At 37.2% G+C, this 20,342-nt stretch overlaps 1 pseudogene across 1 annotated transcript in view, besides 1 other annotated feature; it reads left to right on the forward strand.

Moving 5' to 3' along the window:
- The window catches only part of EGFEM1P (EGF like and EMI domain containing 1, pseudogene), a 581,078-nt pseudogene that overhangs the window by 3,508 nt on the left and 557,228 nt on the right, over window positions 1–20,342 (forward strand). The window lies entirely within an intron of this gene.
- Window positions 19,246–19,781: an enhancer, noted in NCBI's record as "OCT4-NANOG hESC enhancer chr3:167990063-167990598 (GRCh37/hg19 assembly coordinates)". NCBI's record gives its function as "activates a minimal SCP1, AML or CMV promoter by ChIP-STARR-seq in naive H9 embryonic stem cells {active_cell/tissue: H9 hESC(naive)}" and the evidence as "EXISTENCE:reporter gene assay evidence [ECO:0000049][PMID:30033119]".

Consider the following 20,342-nt stretch of genomic DNA (forward strand, 5'->3'; position numbering starts at 1 on the left):
TGGGAGTAGTTATCTGAGGCAAGTGCATTAAAAATTAGAGAGTTGTAACTGGTAACGGCATTTTGATAAAGGGATATTGAAGAGTTTACTTATGTTAATGGTATTCTGCAAATGTTTTCTGAAGGATTAAATAGGAGGAAATAAACTCTACTCTGGATCTTTGAGACATCAAAGGAAAATGATTGGCTGTAATGCACTCTATTAAAATTTATCTTTTGTAATGTACTCTTGTAAACACTTGCATAATTATTTTATGCATCCTAATGAAAAGTAGTAAACATGGGAGTGTTGCAGATATCATAGCAGGCATAAATGAATAAAGGAAGATGAAGTAGCTTAAGCTCCTGGGACATGTGATACTTGGATTTCTCTGATATCTGGTGGGAATTTTTAAACAACATGGCCACTTTGTGACTCAGCAGTAGTCTAAACTGTGTAGGACATTTCACTTCCATCCCCTAAGATAGTACAGGCAGTTTTGACATACAGATCCCAAGTATGGCTGATATGAAACTGTCTACCCCTCTCCCATGACACACATACATAGAACTATGTTTCACCTCTTAGTTACAGGCTTAATACAGGCTTCTGTAGTTAATGTGGAAACTTAGGGTCAGTCAGAGAGAGAGTGACAGTGACTTAGATTTTATGAAGAACCAATGGATTTGGAAATAGAGCCAGTCAATAATCTATGATAATAATTTGGAATAGTGAAGGAGAGATGACAGAGTTGTCTGTTGTCCCCCACACATGCTGGAATTTGTTTCTTTTTATTATTATTATTTAAACTTTTGATATTATACAGCCTGAAATTGAGCTGTCTTAGTTCGTTCGGGCTGGTGTAACAAAATACCATAAACTAGGTGGGTTTTAAACAACAAACATTTATTTCTTATGGTTCTGGTGATTGAGAAATCCAAGATTTCTCAGAATCTTGGATTTTCATAGATCTGATGTCTTGTAGAACCTGTTTACTGGTTCACAGATATAGGTTTGTCCTCAGGTGGTGCAAGGGGTAAAGGAGCTCCCTTGGGCATACATTAATTTCAGTCATGAGGGCTCTACCCTCGTGATGTAATCACTTCTCAAAGGCCACATTTCCTACTACCATCACATTGGGAGTTAGGGTTTCAGCACAGGAATTTCAGGAGGAAACAAACATTCAGACCATATCATGAGTGAACTAGAGATATGTGGGGCTAATAATAATCCCTTATTTATTTACTTACTTACTTAGTTGCTTTTGAAACAGAGTCTCACTCTGTCAGCCAGGCTGGAGTACAGTGGTGTGATCTGGGCTCACAGCAACCTCTGCCTCCTGGGTTCAAGCGATTCTCATGCCTCAGCCTCTTGAGTAGCTGAGACTACAGGCACATGCCAACCACATTCAGCTATTTTTTGTATTTTTAGTAGAGACAGGGTTTACATGTTGGTCAGGCTGGTCTTGAATTCCTGACCTCAAGTGATCCGCCCACCTCAGCCTCCCAAAGTGCTGGGATTACAGGCATGAGCCACCACACCAGGCCAATAATCCCCTTAAACTTAGAAATAATTTAAACATAGTCTGGGTTTACTCATTAATTTAAATTAATTGGAAAAGAGTTTTTTTCTTTTGAGGTCAGGCACATTAAATGAGCAGAAAATGAATTTGAGAAGAGAAGGCTGTGTGCATTCTCTATGGGTAAAACATTTTTTAGCAGTTTGTATATTAATATCTTCAATCCTAACAACAATCATATGAGGTAGATAACACCATCATCTTTTTCAGATGAGGTCACTGAGGCACAGAGAGGTGTATTAGTCCATTTTCACACTACTGTAGAGAACTACCTGAGACTGGGTAATGTATAAAGGAAAGAGGTTTAATTGACTCAAAGTTCTGCATGGCTGGGGTGACCTCAGGAAACTTACAATCATGGCAGAAGGTGAAGGGGAAGAAAGGCATGTCTTACATGGTGTCAGGAGAGAGAGAGAGAGAGAACAAGGCGGGAACTGCCAAACACTTAAATTATCAGATCTCATGAGAACTCACTCACTATCATGAGAACAGCATGGAGGAAACTGCTCCCATGATCTAATCACGTCCCACCAGGTCCATCCCTCAACACATGGGGATGACAATTTGAGATGAGATTTGGGTGGGGACATAAAGCCAAACTGTATAATTCTGCCCCTGTTCCCTCACAAATCTCATGTCCTTCTTACATTTCAAAACATAATCTTGCTTTCCCAACAGTCCCTCAAAATCTAAACTCACTCCAACATTAATTCAGAAGTCCAAGTTTAAAGTCTCACCTGACACAAGGCAGTTCCTTCCACATATGAGCCTGTAAAGTCAAAGGCAAGTTAGTTACTTCCAAGATACAGTGGGGGTGTAGGCATTGGGTAAATGTTCCCATTTCAAATGGGAGAAGTTGGCCAAAACAAAGGATTACAGGCCTCATGCATATCCAAAACCCAAAAAAGCAGTTGTTAAATTTTAAAGCTCCAAAATCATCTCCTTTAACTCCATGTCTCATATCCAGAGCATGCTGACACAAGAGATGGGCTCCCAAGGCCTTGGGCAGCTCTGCCTCTGTGGCTCTGCAGGGTGCAGCCCCTGTGGCTGCTTTCATGGGCTGGTGTGAGTGCCTGCAGTCTTTCCAGGTGCATGGTGCATGCTGTTGGTGATGCACCATTCTAGGGTCTGGAGGACAGTGGCCCTCTTCTCAAAGCTCCACTAAGCAGTGCCCCAGTAGGGACTCTGTGTGGGGGCACCAACCCCACATTTTCCCTCTTGACTCCCCTAATGGAGGTTCTCCATGAGGGCTGTGCCCCTGTAGCAGACTTCTGCCTGGACATCCAAGTGTTTCCATACATCCTCTGAAATCCAGGCAGAGGTTCCCAAACATCAACTCTTCTGTGCACCCTCAGGCCCAACACCATGTGGAAGCTTCCAAGGCTTGGGGCTTGCATTCTCTAAAACCATGGCACAAGCTGTACCTTGGTCCCTTTTACCCATGGCTGGAGCAGGAGTGGCTGGGACTCAGAGCTCTGTGTCTCAAGGATGCACAGAGCAGCAGGGCCCTGGTCCTGGCCCAGGAAACCATTCTTCCCTCCTTGACCTCTGGGCCTGTGATAGGAGGGGCTGCCATAAACATCTCTGCAATGCCCTGGAGACATTTTCTGCTTCACTTTACTTATGCAAATTTCTGCAGCCACAGCTTGAATTTCTCCCTAGAAAATGGGTTTCTCTGTTCTACTTGTGGTTGGTCTGCAGATTTTCCAAATTTATATGCTGTGGTTCCCTTTTAAACATAAGTTCTGATTTCAGATCATCTCTTTGTGAATGCATATGACTGTAAGCTTTTAGAAAAAGCCAGGTTATATCTTGAACACTTTGCTGCTTAGAAATTTCTTCTGCCAGATACCTTAAATCATCTCTCTCAAGTTCAAAGTTCCACAGATATCTAGGGCAAGGGCAAAATGCCCCAGAGATTTGAGCATTTTTGCTAAAGCATAGCAAGCTAAAGCATAGCAAGAGTGACCTGTGCTCCAGTTCCCAATAAGTTCCTCATCTCCATCTGAGACCACCTCAGCCTGGACTTCATTGTCCATATCACTATCAGCATTTTGGATAAGACCATTCAACAAGTCTCTAGGAAGTTTCAAACTTTCCCAGATTTTCCTGTCTTCTTCTGAGCCCTCCAAACTATTCTAAGCTCTGCCTGTTACTCAGTTCCAAAGTTGCTTCCGCATTTTCAGGCTATTTTTATAGCAGTACCCCACTATCCTGGTACCAGTTTTCTGTATTCGTCTGTTTTCACATTGCTGTAAAGAATGACCTGAGACTGGGTGATTTATAAAGGAGAGAGGTTTAATTGACTCACAGTTCTGTATGGCTGGGGAGACCTCAGGAAACTTACAATCATGGCAGAAAGTGAAGGGGAACCAAGGCACATCTTACATGGTGGCAGGAGAGAGAGAGCAAGTAGAAAACTGTCAAACACTTTAAAACCATCAGATCTCATGAGAACTCTCACTGTCATGAGAACAGCATGGAGGAACAACCCTCATGATCTAGTCACCTCCCACCAAGTCCCTCTCTCGACACATGTGGATTACAATTTGAGATGAGATTTGGGTGGAGACACACAGCCAAACCATATCAAGAGGTTAGGCAACTATCATGAAGTTTCATAGCTGAGAAGTGGTAGAATGGGGTATAGACCCATCCTGTCTAGCTCCAGAGCTCTGTTCATAATCACCATACTCCGTGCTGTTCCCTTTACCTTTGGCTTTTCCTTCATATGCTCTCAAACTATGAGACTCTGATCTTTTTACTCAGTCTGGATCTGTTTACCTAAATTCAGCAGTAGCTGCTCTTGCTCCTATTCTCCCCAAGTAGATTCAAACCTTTGCCCTTTAGTTTTAGTAGTCAATTCCAGTTCATACTTTATTGATGATATTGACATTTTATTATATGGATTTTCTCAGTGTCCCTGTCCTCAGTTTTAATATTATTTACATATGTTTACTTTTCTTCTTTCTTCTGTGTTTCATAGAAATACATTTACCACTCTTGTTTCAAGGTAATCCCTCCCTGTATGTTCCAGATCCCATTTAAAAAATATTTTCTCTGTCATTTCTTTTTTTATCATTCATTCCCATCTCTTTCCATTCTACTGTTTTTTCTCTTTTTCCAATCATATTCAAGTCTTGCATTCTACATCTGTCTCTACTGTATGTCTATAAGATGTTTTGTCTATATACAGGTCTGTGTTGACTTTGCTTCTTCTCTCCTTCACCTTCCATTGCTGAAAAACAGCTCATTAATGCTGCTTCCTTTGTTTTTTTCTAATCATCAGTCATTTAACCCATTGCACTGTGGCCTCCTCTGCTGAATGTCCTTTTCAGAGGCTACCCTCTTTTCAGAATTTGCCTAACCCTTATTTTTCTGTAGCATGTGACATTACTAATTCCTATTTTCTACTTTTTTTACATCTCGTACTTTTCCTTTGTACATGTAGTATCATCTGTAGTTCTCCTCCTCCATTGGTGCCTGCATTCTCCCCTTCTATCTTTATTTCTCTTTCCATTCTTTATACATTAACTGGTTTATCTCTTCCCACTGGCTTCCATCATATGTGCTATTTTTATGAGACCCAGATCTGTACATCCAGCCCCAGTCTCTTTGGAGCTATAGACTTGCATTTTCAACTATAGATTTATCATCTCCATGGATTTCAGACTCAAAATGTTCTTAGATCATCTCTAGTCATTATTGTCTCCTTCTATATCTTCTTCTCAGGTACTTTGTCTGTCTTCTCCTTTGTCTTATTTGAATTTTTTTTAAATCTCTGTTACTTGTCTCCCAGTTTACATTGTTGTTTTATTATGAGCTTTAGGTAAGATGGTTGTGAAAAGGCTTTTGTTTATGGCAATTCGATAAATATAAGTTAATATTTATATTCCTATCAGTTGCCAAATTCTGTCAACACCTACAACAAAATATCTGTTGAATTAGTTCCTATTCCTGATGCCAACACTTAAGCCTGTTATGCTATTTTTACTCCTAGGCTACTACAGTTATCTCTTTGTTGATCTTCTCTTTCATATCCTCTCAATCCTCTTTATTTTATTATATATACTACTTAGTTTTTATCTAGATTGGTTTTTAAAGCAAAGATCTAGTGACATCATTTCCTTTCTTAAGAACTCTGATTATCCATGAAATCAGCTCAGGGATTCATAATATTGTTCTTAAATAGCACTTATTATGTGCCAGGAATAATTTAAGTACTTTGCATATTTTAACTCATTTAATTCTTACAGCAACCCTATCAGAAGGTAATGTTTGTATCAACATTTATGATGAAGAAATTGAAGTCCAGGGAAGTTAAGGTTTTCTGGAGAAACTACATATAACAGTATGAAGCTCAGGGGAGAGGTCATGTAATTAATAAGTAATAAAGCTAGGGTATAAACCCAGGCTGTCTGACTCTAGAATCTGAGCACTTAATTACCACACTGTATTCAAGGCCTTATCTTTTTGGTATTATTTAATTTTATAAACATTTATTGAGTACATAGTTATTTTTATTTATTATTTATTTATTTTTTGCTTTTTGTTTTTTTAAATTTGCCTGTAGTCCCCTTCTGCTACTCAAGATCTGTGATGCGTCTAAGATTTTACTTTACCTTCAAGATAATGAGTTAGTCTGCCACAGTTCATAGTTGCTGCTAGAAGACATGAGATTCCTGGGCAAAGACAAATGACTTTATTAGTTCCTTAGTCTGTAGCAGGCAGCATGAGCTTCATGTTTGCATCAGTTATCTTGCCCTTGCCTCCTTGCTAAGTTCCATGAAGGCAATGAGGAGTGGCTCCAATGGATACTGTGCATACCATGAGTTTGTGTCACAGATAGGGAACCTGGAGCTTAGACAACCTTCAGTCTTCTAAGGGGACTGCTAGCAAACCTGCCAACCCTTGCCGTTAGAGGGAGAATGAACTTTATTATCTTGCTCAGGAAGCAACTCTGCCCTCAGTTCTGGCAGAAGACACTCTCTTCATCTTCCAAGATTGTTTTTTATAGAAACATCCTTCCAGAAAAAAGCTGTCAAGGCTTTTTCACAAGCAGAAATGCAAGAGACCTTGAAGAATTGTCTCCCAACATCCCTAACATGTTGCTTTCCCATTTTAGTAGCATAGGTTTTGCTATGGCTTAAATCTAGTATTTTTTCTCTTTTGTTGAATCCAGTGCTTGATTTTCCCATTCTTTTAAAATAGATAGGAACATATTAAAACTAGACGAACACAAAGGTTTAATGAGCTTACTTAAGGGGCTGTGTTCAAATTCCAAGCACTTGTCTTTTCTCCACTGATGCTGAAATCAAATTACTAACCCAGTTGCTGAATATGTAGTTGATTTCTTTTCTTTTTATTTCCATTTAGCAAAGATTTATTCATTGTCAAGTACTTTGCTAGGCATTGGGGATACAGAAGGAAGTAAGGTGATTCCTTTCTTTAAGCAACTCATAGATCAGGAGGGAGATCAGCACACAGACTAGAGCCTACCAATACAAAATTGGCAGAGATGGTACATGTAACCCAACTATAAGAAGAAAGAATACAGGACCTCAGGGTAGGTTTTCAAGTTATTGACTCTGAGTAGAGGTTGGATGAGTGGTAAAGATGGTGATGGTGGTGGTCGTTTCCAGTTGGTGAAAAGAATATGTGCAAGAAGGCAGCAAGATCTCCCCATTAGGAAAACCATAAATCATGTTCTTAACAGTATGACTGGGGAGAATAATCTGTATGAGGCTACAGTAAAAGATAAGTTTAGGGCTGTTGAGTCCAGAGAGAAGCGGTGTGAGTCTAATAACCAAAAGAAATAGTGGTGGTAATAAAACAAGGGAACAGATCTGAAAGATAAATAGCAATAGGAGTTGATGAATGCATGGAGGTAAGAGAGAAAGACAGACTTGATGGGGCCTCTGGGTAATGGAGAATATCAGAAACACAAGAGAAAGGAGCCTTATGGGAGAAGAAGATGATGAATTCAGCAGTGACTGACTATGTGGGCATTTCTGTGTCTGTGGGATCTCAGCTGGAGACGTTCTAGAGAAATCCACTAAAGGGGCCTGAGGCTCAGGAAGGTGATCTGGGCTGGAGCTATATTTGGCTGTTGAAGTGGTAGGAAACAAGTGTATATAAAAAAGTGAGGAAAAAAGATTATTGAGGAAGGAAACCTGGATATTTTAATATAAGAACAGAGGACAGATGAAAAAGGGCCTAAGGAGGAAGTTAAGAAACTGCCTGAGAGGAAGGAAAGAAAGAGTGGTATATGCTATGGAAGGCCTCAGGGAAGTTAAATAAAGTAGAAACTTGTATAGTTAAAAGTGTCACTACTAAAAAATGATTGACTTAGAGCTACATAAATAGAACATCACTGGAAGAACATCATTCTAGTTGAGAACTTCGCTGTCATAGCCATCACTTTTGGTCATGATGACAAGAAGTGGAAACTCCTGTGGAGTGCTCTTATATTGACAGGCTGTGTTTTTGCCTGGCTAAACATTTACTCTGTATCTGCCATCATTCTGAGCTCATTATTACTATGGCCAGAAATGACTGTAGAAAGAAAGTCCTGCTACTCCAGCAGAATTAATTACAGATGGGGCACAATTCAGGATCAATTCACAATCATCAAGGCATTTTTCTAGGTTCTTCTGTAGAGGTGGGTAAGATAGAGTCTCCACCCCCAGGGAGCTTATAAGCAAGTATTATGTTCTTTGTTGATAGGATAGTCAAGTACCTTAAAGGAGTTAAAACTCAAGTAGTACTTTAAGAAAGGAGAAAATAAATTTGTGAGAGGAAATCATGGGAAGCTTTCTGGAAGTGGTGGCATTTGTAGGCAAGGTAGGATTGGGGTCAGAAGTGCATTCATTGTAGGAAGAGAGCAGAGCGTGCAAGGCCTTGGAGGTTGTTGGAAGGGCAGTGTCTCCTGGGGCCAATATACACTGTGGCATCTTTTGTCACCATCATTGGCTCCATGCATTTGCAGCTCTTTCCTCTCCAAATACCTAGCGTCCCCAAATGCCCTTCACATTTTTCTGCCATGGTGCCTTTCCTCTCAGCAAACTCCCTGCCTTCTCTTCTCTTCCAGGCCAATCTCTAAGGCCCAGCACAAAAGTCACCTATTTCACAAATACTTCCAGGTCCCTCAGATAGGATTAATTACATGTTTGTCTGTTTCAGCAATCTTAACTGATATTTTTGTCTGACATAGGTATCTGGAGATCTATAGTTTCTTTTAAAAAATCTATTTGTGATAACCATGTGATAACAGCGAAAACGTGTTTGGAATTAGTAAAGGCACTTCCAGACGATTCTGTTAAATCAACTCCTTGTAGTATATAAATTATGTGGCTTGTCAACTGATGATCTGGAAAATGTTTTCTGTCATTCTTCAGTGGACAGTTTTCAGTGGTGTTTAATGTTCCTCCTCACTGATATGGTTAATTAAGAATTGACAGTAATTCTGAGCTTTAGTGAGTTTTACTCTTGAGAGAAGAAGCAATCCCAGGAGACTTGAGGTTTTGTTTCTCTGAATTATTATGAAAACTATTTTCATGAGTGAATGTAGTGGATGCCAAGCAAGAGAAAGTAACTGAATTTTGAATAGTTTTTCCTTTCTGAAGGGCAAAATACTAATATTAAGTTGCCGAACCTGCAGATTTTTGTTATGCTGTGAAGGCTTTTGTTATAAACAAAAGTATATGTGGGGATCTAATGTACGGCATAGTCTGTAGTTAGCAATACTGTATTGTGTACTTGAAATTTGCTAAGAGAGATCTTAAATGTTCTCACCATGGGGGAAGAGAGGTAACTAGGTGAGATGATAGATGTGCCAACTAACTTGATTGTGGTAATCATTTGACAATGCAGTGTACATGTATATCAGATCATCATGTTATACACCTTAAATTTGTGCAGTTTTATTTGTCAATCATACCTCAATAAAGCTGGAGAAAAGAACATGATAATAAAATAAGTCAAATTATATTGCTTATTTATTATGAAGTTTAAATAAAATTTGCTGTTCCAGCTTACAAAGTCCAAAAGATAAGAAAAAAATTCTCAGCATGAATAAACTGGGAATGTATCTTCACATCAAAAATTCATTTTTCAATGCATTTAATGGTTTACTCATGCTGAGAACTACTTCTTATCTTTTGAACTTTTGAACCCTGTATGTATGGAGATGAGCAAAAATGTATATGAGTTTCTTTTAAATGTACTGGAATACCACATGTAAAACAAAACAAGTAGAAAACTCAAGACCCAGCAATACACATTGATCAATTATGTGATAACATAATAATATTTGTACTGGGCTTTAGGCATGTTATATGCAATACTGAAATGAATTTTGCTATGAGAAATATCATAGGCATCAGCCATTGAAAGGTATGCCTAACATCTTTTGTAAAGCAAATCTTGCTTGAATTTAACTAACAGTCACAAGTCTGGGCCAGTAAGCAACACAGTCAGTGTCCCCTCCACCCTTCATAAATCTATTTGCAGTAGAAATCTCATTAACATTTTAATTGTTTTGTATCTAAAGTTGCTCTCAGTGCCACATTTAAAGGGCTCAGGCTCATTAAAATTTAAGGACCAGAGAGCTCATAGTCTACTCTAATGACCTAGTGATGGTTGTAAAGGCTCTAAATATTTTTTGGTTCTTTGAATAACTGAGGAATTCCTTGTAGTGGCTAAGTATGCCTGAAGATAGGTTGTTGCATTGCCCAATTTCAATCCCATCAGAAAGCTCTCTCCCTCTTTTCCCTCATCTAAATCCTAGGGTCTCTTAAAGTCCCTTTCAACATTTTCTGTCAACTTTTATTTCATTGCCCACATTATTTCTTTAGCTAGATTCTAATTTAATTGAGGGAAAAGAATTAAAATTTGTCACTGAGAATCTACCTTCTGTTTGTGTTTCTCCACTCCCCACACTGACCCCCGTCCCATTAAAAAACTATCTATCCCAAACTTAAATTAATTGTAAGCATTAGAAGTTCTTATTCTGGCTTTGCTACACGTTAGCTAATGAGACTACAACACACCTTCTGGACTCAGTGTTCTCATTTGTCTGCTAAAACTTTGGTATATGTTTCATGACATTGTTTTTGTTCTAAAATACATGTCTTCAAGGATTAATTAGCCTTACTTACAGTCTGTTTCCAATACTACTGTTATATACAGTTATTAACATTTATCATTTAAATGTAGAGGATTGTCAACCCAACGTAACAGTCTTTTGTTTTGCTCCAGTTTTGGTTAAGCCCGTCCTGGTAAGAGGTGATTAAATAATATTTTTTCTTTGAAGACTATTTCTGGTTGATAATAATGACACCCTATCATTATACCCAAATATTATCAAGAAAATATTTAATTTTCTATGAGAAAACAGAGAAAGAAGTAAAAACTAACATCAAATTGGCCTGAAGGTTTATACCATCAAAGTGTATTGAAAACCAGAAAGACCCAAGATTATTGCACTAGAAATTGTTATGGGGAGAGGGTAAATGATCTACTTTTAATCCTGGGATGTGACAGTGATAATAGGATGCAGATTATACAAAAACAGTAATAACTGGGAGTATGCATTCACTTACCCTTTTTAAAATCATGTGTTTTCTATACACTTATAAACATGCAGCATGAGGTAAAATATGTTTCTGTGGTTGTCAGTTTCTGGAAATGCCTCTTATGGGTTTTGCCCATAACGTATGTTCCGTTTAAAGGCTCTACTTTGCCTTAAAAAATGCGGCTTTGGCTGGGCACGGTGACTCATGCCTGTAATCCCAGCACTTTGGGAGGCCGAGGGGGTGCAGATCACCTGAGGTTGGGAGTTTGAGACCAGCCTGACCAACATGGAGAAACCCCATCTCTACTAAAAATACAAAAAATTAGCTGGGCATGGTGACGCATGCCTGTAATCCCAACTACTTGGGAAGCTGAGGTAGGAGAATCGCTTGAATCTGGGAGGCAGAGGTTTCAGTGAGTGAGATTGTGCCATTGTACTCCAGCCTGGGCAACAAGAGCAAAACTCTGTCTGGAAAAAAAAAAAAGTGGCTTTGGCCTCATGGCCAGAAGATTTTGGATGGGGATAGAAAATAATCAGAGCAGATTTGAAGGTACCTTACACCAAGACGGTCATTTTACAGGCTACATCTGCCCTAGAGGCCCCTGAAATCCTTTTTGTTTTAGGGGACACATGCTTCAGTTTCACCATCTTTAATTTTTTTAATTGTATAAAAAAAGACATAAAATTTACCATTGTAACCGCTGAAAAATGTACAGTTCATTAATGTTAACTATTTGTATTGGCGTGTAGCAGATCTTGAGAACTTTTTCTCTTGCAAAACTGAAACTCTATAGCCCTTGAGCAACTCCCTATCTTCCCCTCTCCCAGCCCCTTGCAACCACCATTCTAGTTTCTAACTGAGTTTAACTATTTTAGATACCACATCTTAGTGGAATCATATAGATTTGTCTTTATTATTACTGGCTTATTTCACTTAGCATGATGTCCACAAGGTTCATCATTGTTGTTTCATGTGGTAAGATTTCCTTATTTTTTGAATTTTTTTCAACGTTTAGGTTCAGGGGTACATGTGCAGGTTTGTTATAAAGGTATACTGTGTGTCATGGGGGTTTGGTATACAGATAATTTTGTCCCCTGGGTCCTTCTTTTTTAAGGCTGGATAATATTTCATTGAATGTAAATACTACATTTTCTGTATCTATTCATTCACTGATGGACATTTGGGTTGCTTACTACTCTTGGCTATTGGTGTGCAAATATCTCTTCCAGATCCTATACTTTAAATTTTTTTTTAATTCCTCTGGATATATACCCAGAAGTTGGATTATGGGATCATATGGTAGTTCTATTTTTAATTTAAAGGAACTTCCATACTGTTTACCATAGTAGCTGTACCATTTCATATTCTCACAGCAATGCACAAAGATTCCAATTACTCCACATCCTTGCAAACATTTGTTATTTCTAAATTTTTTTAATTGATGAATAAAAATTGTGTATGTCTATGGTGTATAACATGATATTTTGAAATATGTACACATTGTGGAAAAGCTAAATCAAGCCAATTAACATATGCATTATCTTAAATACTTATCAGTTTTTTGTTCACCAGATTTTTGTCTTTCGGTTTTCATAAAAGTTATTTCTATTTCCAGTGATGTTTTATCTACGTGACATCAGCATACAAGCTACACTTTTTCTTTCTTAGATTATTTTATTCTACTTAAATTTATATAGTAGACTGATTTACCTGACAGTATGTGTTCAAATAAAAAATAATTTCATAATCCCTTATCCATAATTTTGAAATCCAAAAGCTCCAAACACTGGCAGGTACTTTTTATTGTTATTTGTTGCACAAACTAATTTGGTTGCAAAATCTACAGTGATCTGGTATGAGTTTAATTGTAGACCTTATTTATATTTAATATGAAAATTGTTAGGATTCCCTGAAAAAATATTAATGAGTTTGATTAGCGTGTGACTCTCCAGACACTTCTGGACATATATGTATCATATTGCCTCTCTAAGATCTGAAAAATTCTGAATGCCAAACAATTTGGCCCCAGGGATTTAGATAATTCTAATCTGTGTTTGTCAATATAATATTTGAATAATATACTGCTCTTTAAACAGTAATTTAGATTTTTAAGAGTTTGCTACTTTGAACAGAATTCTTTTATAAAATGAGAAATCACTTTTTTTTGAGACAGGGTCTTGCTCTGTCACCCAGACTGGAGTGCAGTGGCACAATCACGGCTCACTGAAGGCTTGATGTCCTGGGCTCAAGCAATCCTCCCACCTCAGCCTTCCGAATAGCTGGGACCACAGGTGCACACTACCATGCCCGGCTAATTTTTGTATTTCTTTTTTGTAGAGACAGAGTTTTGCCATGCTGCCCAGGCTGGTCTTGAACTCCTGCGCTCAAGCGATCTGCCTGCCTCGGCCTCCCTGAGTGCTGGGATTGCAGGTGTGAGCCACTGCGCCTGGCAGATAAACTAGTTTTAAGCAAAGAAGCACCTACCTGTTTTTGTTTGTTTAAATTCTGGATGTTGATTGGTATAAAGCAAGGGAGGTTCAGCTTTATGTGTTCTTAAAAAAAAAAAGAGATTTATCATAATATTGATGAATGTCTTTGAAATTTCAATATTTTATAACATACCTTGTCAAAAGCATAATTAAAAGAAAAATAAATTGTCTTTCATCATTAAAAGACGTTAACATCTTACACCAGTCAGGATGGCTTTTATTACAAAGTTTAAAAGCAACAGGTGATGGCAAGGATGTGGAAAAAAGAGAACACATACAACAATTTACATTGTTGGTGAGAATGTAAATTAGTACAACCTTTATGTAAAACAATATAGAGATGTCTTAAAAGAACTAAAAATAAAACTACCATTCAATCTAGCAGTCTGGCTACTGGGTATATACACAAAGAGAAATCATTATAAAATACCACCTGCCCTTTTATGATTATCACAGCACTGTTCATGATAGCAAAGTAATAGAACCAACATAAGCGTCCATCAATGGATACTTGAGTAAAATGTGATTGAAATATATATATATATTTATTATATACACACATATATATGTATGTGTACACCGTGGAATACTACTCAGACATAAAAAAGAATCAAAATCATGTCTGTTGCAGGAGCATGGATGGAATAACTCAGAAACAGAAATTGAAACACCACATGTTTTCACTTACAAGTGGGAGCTAAACAAAAGGTAAACATTCACATAGAACTGGAGGCCATTATCCTAAGTGAATAACTCAGAAACAGAAATTGAAATACCACATGTTTTCACTTGTAAGTGGGAGCTAAACAAAAGGTAAACATTGACATAGAGAGTAGAATAATAGACACTGGAGACTACAAAAGGTGAGAGGGTGGGTGGTGGGTGAGAGTTGAAAAATTATCTGTTGGGTACAATGTTCACTCTTCCAGTGATGGATACACTGACAGCCCCGTCTCCACCACTATTTAAATATATGCATGTAAGAAATCTGTACTTGTCTCTCCCTAAGTCAATAAAAAGAAAAATAAAGTTCCTATTTTAATGATAAGAAAATAAAAATTAGATGATTCATTAAGTGTAATGCATAAAAACAAGTTCTGTTGTCATTCTATTAAGCCCTGTATAAAAGCCCTGTATAAGCTTCTGTATAAAATAAACAGAGCCAGTTGACATCTATTGGATCTCGATGCCAGGCAGCATTACAAGGACTGTCTATATTATTGCATTTATTTTATCTGAACAACAAAGACTGTGCAATTGTACTATGCCTCTGATATTGAAATGTTATTATTTAGGGATAGAGATAAAGCAAAAAATACCATGTGCTATAATTTAGATATTTATTTAATCCAATTGCATTTTATTTGCAGTGGGAATAAGCCTTTATTAGTCCCACTCTTCGTTACTTCTTATGATGTCTACCTCCAGAGAGTGTGCTAATCTTTTGAAGTGTAAAATGGTCTGATTATGGTTAGTCAGCTGGAGAGTGAAGTCTCTTTATTTATTTTTTTTTTGAGACAGAGTCTCCCTCTGTCACCCAGGCTGGAGTGCAATGGCACGATCTTGGCTCACTGCAACCTCCACCTCTCAGGTTCAAGCAATTCTACTGCCTCAGCCTCCTGAGTAGCTGGGATTATAGGCATGCACCACCATGCCTGGCTAATTTTTTGTATTTTTAGTAGAGATGGGGTTTCACCATGTTAGCCAGGATGGTCTCGAACTCCTGACCTCGTGATCTGCCCACCTCAGCCTCCCAAAGTGCTGGGATTACAGGCGTGAGCCACCGTGCCTGGCCGAGAGTGAAGTCTTTCACTCTCTTCTGCTTCACAAACTTTCCTGTTTTATTTTTTCGATAAATTTTATTCTATTTTTCTTTTGAAGTCCCTATTTTGACCCTAATAAGCTGTTATACTTTTACTTTAGATTGCATTTGTGATAGCTCTCTATATATTTAGATTGATAAATTATTAGGTTCCAAGAAAAGTCAACTGAAGTGCCTAGCTCACTCTCCTTTAGTTTTTGTATTTCATATTAAATATGCTTATAATATTCTCTTTTGTATGTGAAATCTGCATGATCACACGTTGCATTATTAATAGCCTCGCCGAGGCTTTGCTTCTTGCTGTTACTACTTCTATTATCTCAGTGTTTAAGCTCTTCATCTAATGACATAGGTGGAACATTTATGTTTCTCTCATGACTTTCTAGTGTAGAGAAAGAGGCCTGTTCTGAAGGAAATAGAGCCCTTCTTACGGTGGGGTGGAGTCCTTTGATAGGGAGTTTTGGTCCCTGTGGAGACAGATACTTCAAGAGTCGTAAGGGACTGGGAATAAAAGTTAATTCTAAAGAACCCCAGAAACTCAGGGAAGGCATCTTTGCATCTGACAGACTGGCCAATAATTGAACTGGAAGAAGAGGTAAATATTCTCACAAAGGAGAAGGATTACACATGGGGAGGATTGTAAGTGAGTCTCCCTGCCTCTATTCAGTCTGGCAACAAGAGATAGTAGGGCTTTTGACCTACAGACAAATTAAATGCCACCTGTCAAAAAAGTGAGCTTTATGGCTCAGTCTTTGCAATTGTGTGAGATGGAAAACACATTTGTGAGGAAGCAGCTAGGAATGGAAAGCCTGAATTAAAATGAATTATTGCTTGAAGGACAGATAAATGCCTGTTCTGATTGAACCTGAGGCTAGCAGTGAATCCACTGCACCAACGTATCATCACTGTCTGTTTCACTGAGTACATCATTTGCCTACGAAATAAACTTGTTTTCTTTTGAAAAACATCTTTAAAATTTCTGTGTGTGAGCAACAACAACAAAATTTGGACATAGCCTAAATATTCAAGAATGAGGAAACATCTAGGTAAATTATGGTATAGCCTTACAATGGAACATTTATGCAGCTTTTTAAAACGATGCTTACGAAGAATTTTAATGCCCTATAAAATGCTTATATTATAATAAGTCAAAAAAGAGGCAGGATACAAATGCCTATAACAGCATGATTTTATATATAAATGTATAAATATAAAGACAATAAGCACAAAAGGAAGGAAATGTATCAAAATATCTTAATAATGTTTATCTCCTGGTGGTGAGTTATGTATAATTTTTATTCTCTCATCTACAGTTATGTTTTTGCTAACTTTTCTGTAATGAACATCTATTACTTTTTTCTTAGAAAAAATACTTTGAAAAAAGTTGTTAACCTGTAATGTGTTATTGACAAATGCCACTTGAAGACAACTTTGTAAGACCTCTTTTGAGCCACCAGTGCAACTAAGCTTTATTTCCCCTAAGAACCATTATGGTTCATTTGTATTTCAGTAAAATGTTTCATTGTATACTTCTATCCGGGCCACTATTATTTAGTATTCCAGTGATGGTGAAATAAAAGATAAAACATTTCCTATGTTTAAAGATTTCTGATCAGATAAGAAGACCTCTTTCTACCACATGGTTTCCAATCTTGTAACCTTGCTCCAAATTAACAGACATAAGCGTATTCAAAACAAGTAGATCATAAGCGTGGCTTCTTCAGATTTATAGTTAGTGGTTCAGAGCTGTAGTCTTATGTCATGTTTCTCCTTGTATATGTAGCATCCACTCAAAATTATTTTCTCAGATAATTTACTGGGTATTAGTTGAACTGTAAATTGCTAAAAACTTTAACACATTTATCATCTGGTTTTTCTACTCCTAAGGGTAAGATTATCCTGACTTGGCTTTCTAGGTGACTCTTCTGTAACCAGTTGCTTACATATAAAAATACTTTGCTTACCTAGAACTCAGTTATCTGACAACCTTTATACAGTTGGCTCTTTGTATCTGTGGACTCTACATCCCATGAATATAACCAACTGCAGATGAGAAATAATCAGAAAGGAAACCCAATTAAAAAAACAATAAAATTTAAAAACTACAGAATAACAAGTGTTTACATAGCATTTACATTGTTTTATGTATTATAAGTAATCTAAAGATGATTTAGAGGACACAGGAGGATGTACCTATGTTGTATGCAAATATTGCACCATTTTGTATAGGGGACTGAAACATTTGCAGATTTCGGTATCCATGGGAGTCATGGAACCAGTTCCCTGGGATGCCAAGGGATGACTATGTCTGAGAAATAACTGAGAAGCAATAAGTAAACCATAATAACAACATAAGTAACAACAGCTACCACTTACTGGGTACTTGCTATGTTTTTTTAATTCTGAGTACTGTCCTCATTATCTCATTTAATCATTATAACCCTCTGCAATGGTTATTGCTCTCCTTATTTATAGAGGAGAAAACTGAGGCTTATAAAAATTGAATCACTTGTCCAAGGTCACAGTGCTCATTATTGTGAAGCTAGGAGCTGAACCATATTCCAAAGTCCAAATATACTCATAACTATTACCATAAATAAAAATTGAAAACAGATGTCACAGTGTCTGTATTCTACAAATGCTTAACATTACACTTCAAGATCCCAAGAAAGGATCACTCTATTTTACAAAATGAATTCAGCCAATTTACAAATACAATATTTGAAAAAGGGAAAAGAGGGCTTCTAGAAGTAGGAATTGATAACGAAAAAGAAGGTATGGCTGTAAACTGATAGAGGGGCTTAGAGAATATATTCCCAAGAAATCTGAAAGCATAATATTCTGGATTGGTTCACTAAAAACATCTTTTACACTGTATAGTTTCTAACTTTATCAATATAATAAATATGGAGCTTCATCATGGTAGATTTATCTTGTCAATAAAATATTAAAATGAATATAGTCTTAATTTTAAAAACATTTTTATAACAATTTATACATTTTATTTTAGAATGATTAGAGAATATAGGTCAGATAAAATAACAAAATAAAAAAATCTCATAATTTTACAGCCAGAGATATTAACTGTTAACATTTTAGAAGAACTACATAATATAAATACAAATGTAAACATAAATGTATACGTTTACGTTTTAACAAAATAGGGCCATGGTTTACTTTTAAAAAATTACCTTCAGTTACAATCTGTGTGCACATTTAAAAAGATTATTTGATTATCAAGGTAGAGAAGTATATAACATACTTAAGACTGATTTTCTTCCAGTAAGTATAACAACATGCACACACATTAATCTGCTGCTTTAAGGCAAAATACATATTAATCCAGAAAATTATTTTATGTGAATCAGCTCATTGATGCTACATCAATGAGGCACTACTGTACTTTGGCTATCTTTATGCCATGTAACTTTCATTATTCTTCTCTATACATTTGAAAGAAAACTTGATTTTTTAAAGGAGAAAGAATCAATAATGAGCGGGAAAGTTTAAGGGTGTTTTGAAAGGAAAAGTGTACCTATACTCTATATTCCCTGGCTGGAGCTGATGTGATTTAAAGCCATCTGTTTCTTTCACTTGAAATGCAGTTAGCTTTGTATTCATCAGCCTACTTAATTCAGGAGAAAGGGAGGGCCAACTTCCAAAAGCTGAGTTTTTATTTGCTATGTCAGTTTACAAAGATTTATTGAGCACCTTTTTGTGTGGGTCTTGTATTAGATAGTTATTTACTGCAAAGACGTGTAAGATGTGCTCTCTGTACTCAAAAAAAGTCCAGTCAATTGATCTAAAAAATATAAATAGTTAATTACAATTCAGCATGGTGGGTACAAAGAGTGAAGTGAGGTTTAGGGGCTATAGGAGCACATGGGAAGTAAGAAAAGCTATCTGGCTGTAGAGATTCCAAAGTGGACATGTAGAGAGAAAGTGGGTGGCTAAGGAAAGGGGGGTGATGCAGTATGTTTCAGATAGAGGAGCTGCATGTACAAAGGTTCAGGGGTTAGACAATGAGCATGCTGTGTTTAGTGTCATGGAGATTAGGGTAGGAAGTGGAAAAAGGGCTGACAAGCAAGTATTCAGGGCCTATCAAGGAGGCATCCTGTGTCATGCTGAGGAATTGGGATTTTATCCTTAAGCAAAGATGAGTCATTCATTGGAAATACTGTCAGAGAAGCCATGAATAGAATAACTATGGTTCAGAGAAATCAGTCTAGTGCTATGTGAAGAGGCCCTAAGTTGTACGGAGACAAGATCAGGATCTGAGCTAAAGTATTAAAGAGGAAGAAGTTGATCTGGTGAACTTGCTGATTGTTGGATGTGGGAGGTAAGAGAGTGGGTGAGGAAACATGACATCATTATCTCTGGGTTAGGTTACTGGGTGCATGGTAATGTCTTCTGCAAATGAAGAAGTTTCCAAAGAAAAGAAGATTGAGAGGATATTTCAAAGATGATGAATTTATTCTGTATGTGTTCAGTTGGATATGTAGAACTTGAGCTTAACGAAAGCAGTGACTAGAACAATAGATTTGGGAGGTATCTGAATATACAAGTATGAAAACCAGAGAAGGGAGTAAGAACCCCCAGGTAATATCTGTGGATTCAGAGGGACCCTTGAGGACCACCATCATTTTAAGACTCAGTATAGAATAGTAGTGAAGCAATGGGCTCTGCTGTCTGGATTCAAATCCTAGTTATACCTCTTATTAGGTCATGCTATCAATTCTCTCTGTCCTTCAGTTTCCTCATCTGTAACATGGAGATGACACATATTTTAGTCATAGGCTAGTTGTGAACCAAATGAGTTAATATCTTAAAGTATATATTATAGGACTGGCCTGTAGTAAAAGTTAAACAGATTTAGCTTAGCTTTACTGTATTATTTA

The sequence above is a fragment of the Homo sapiens genome, chromosome 3 (genome assembly GCF_000001405.40).
Source record: "Homo sapiens chromosome 3, GRCh38.p14 Primary Assembly".
Classification (NCBI taxonomy): Eukaryota; Metazoa; Chordata; class Mammalia; order Primates; family Hominidae; genus Homo; species Homo sapiens.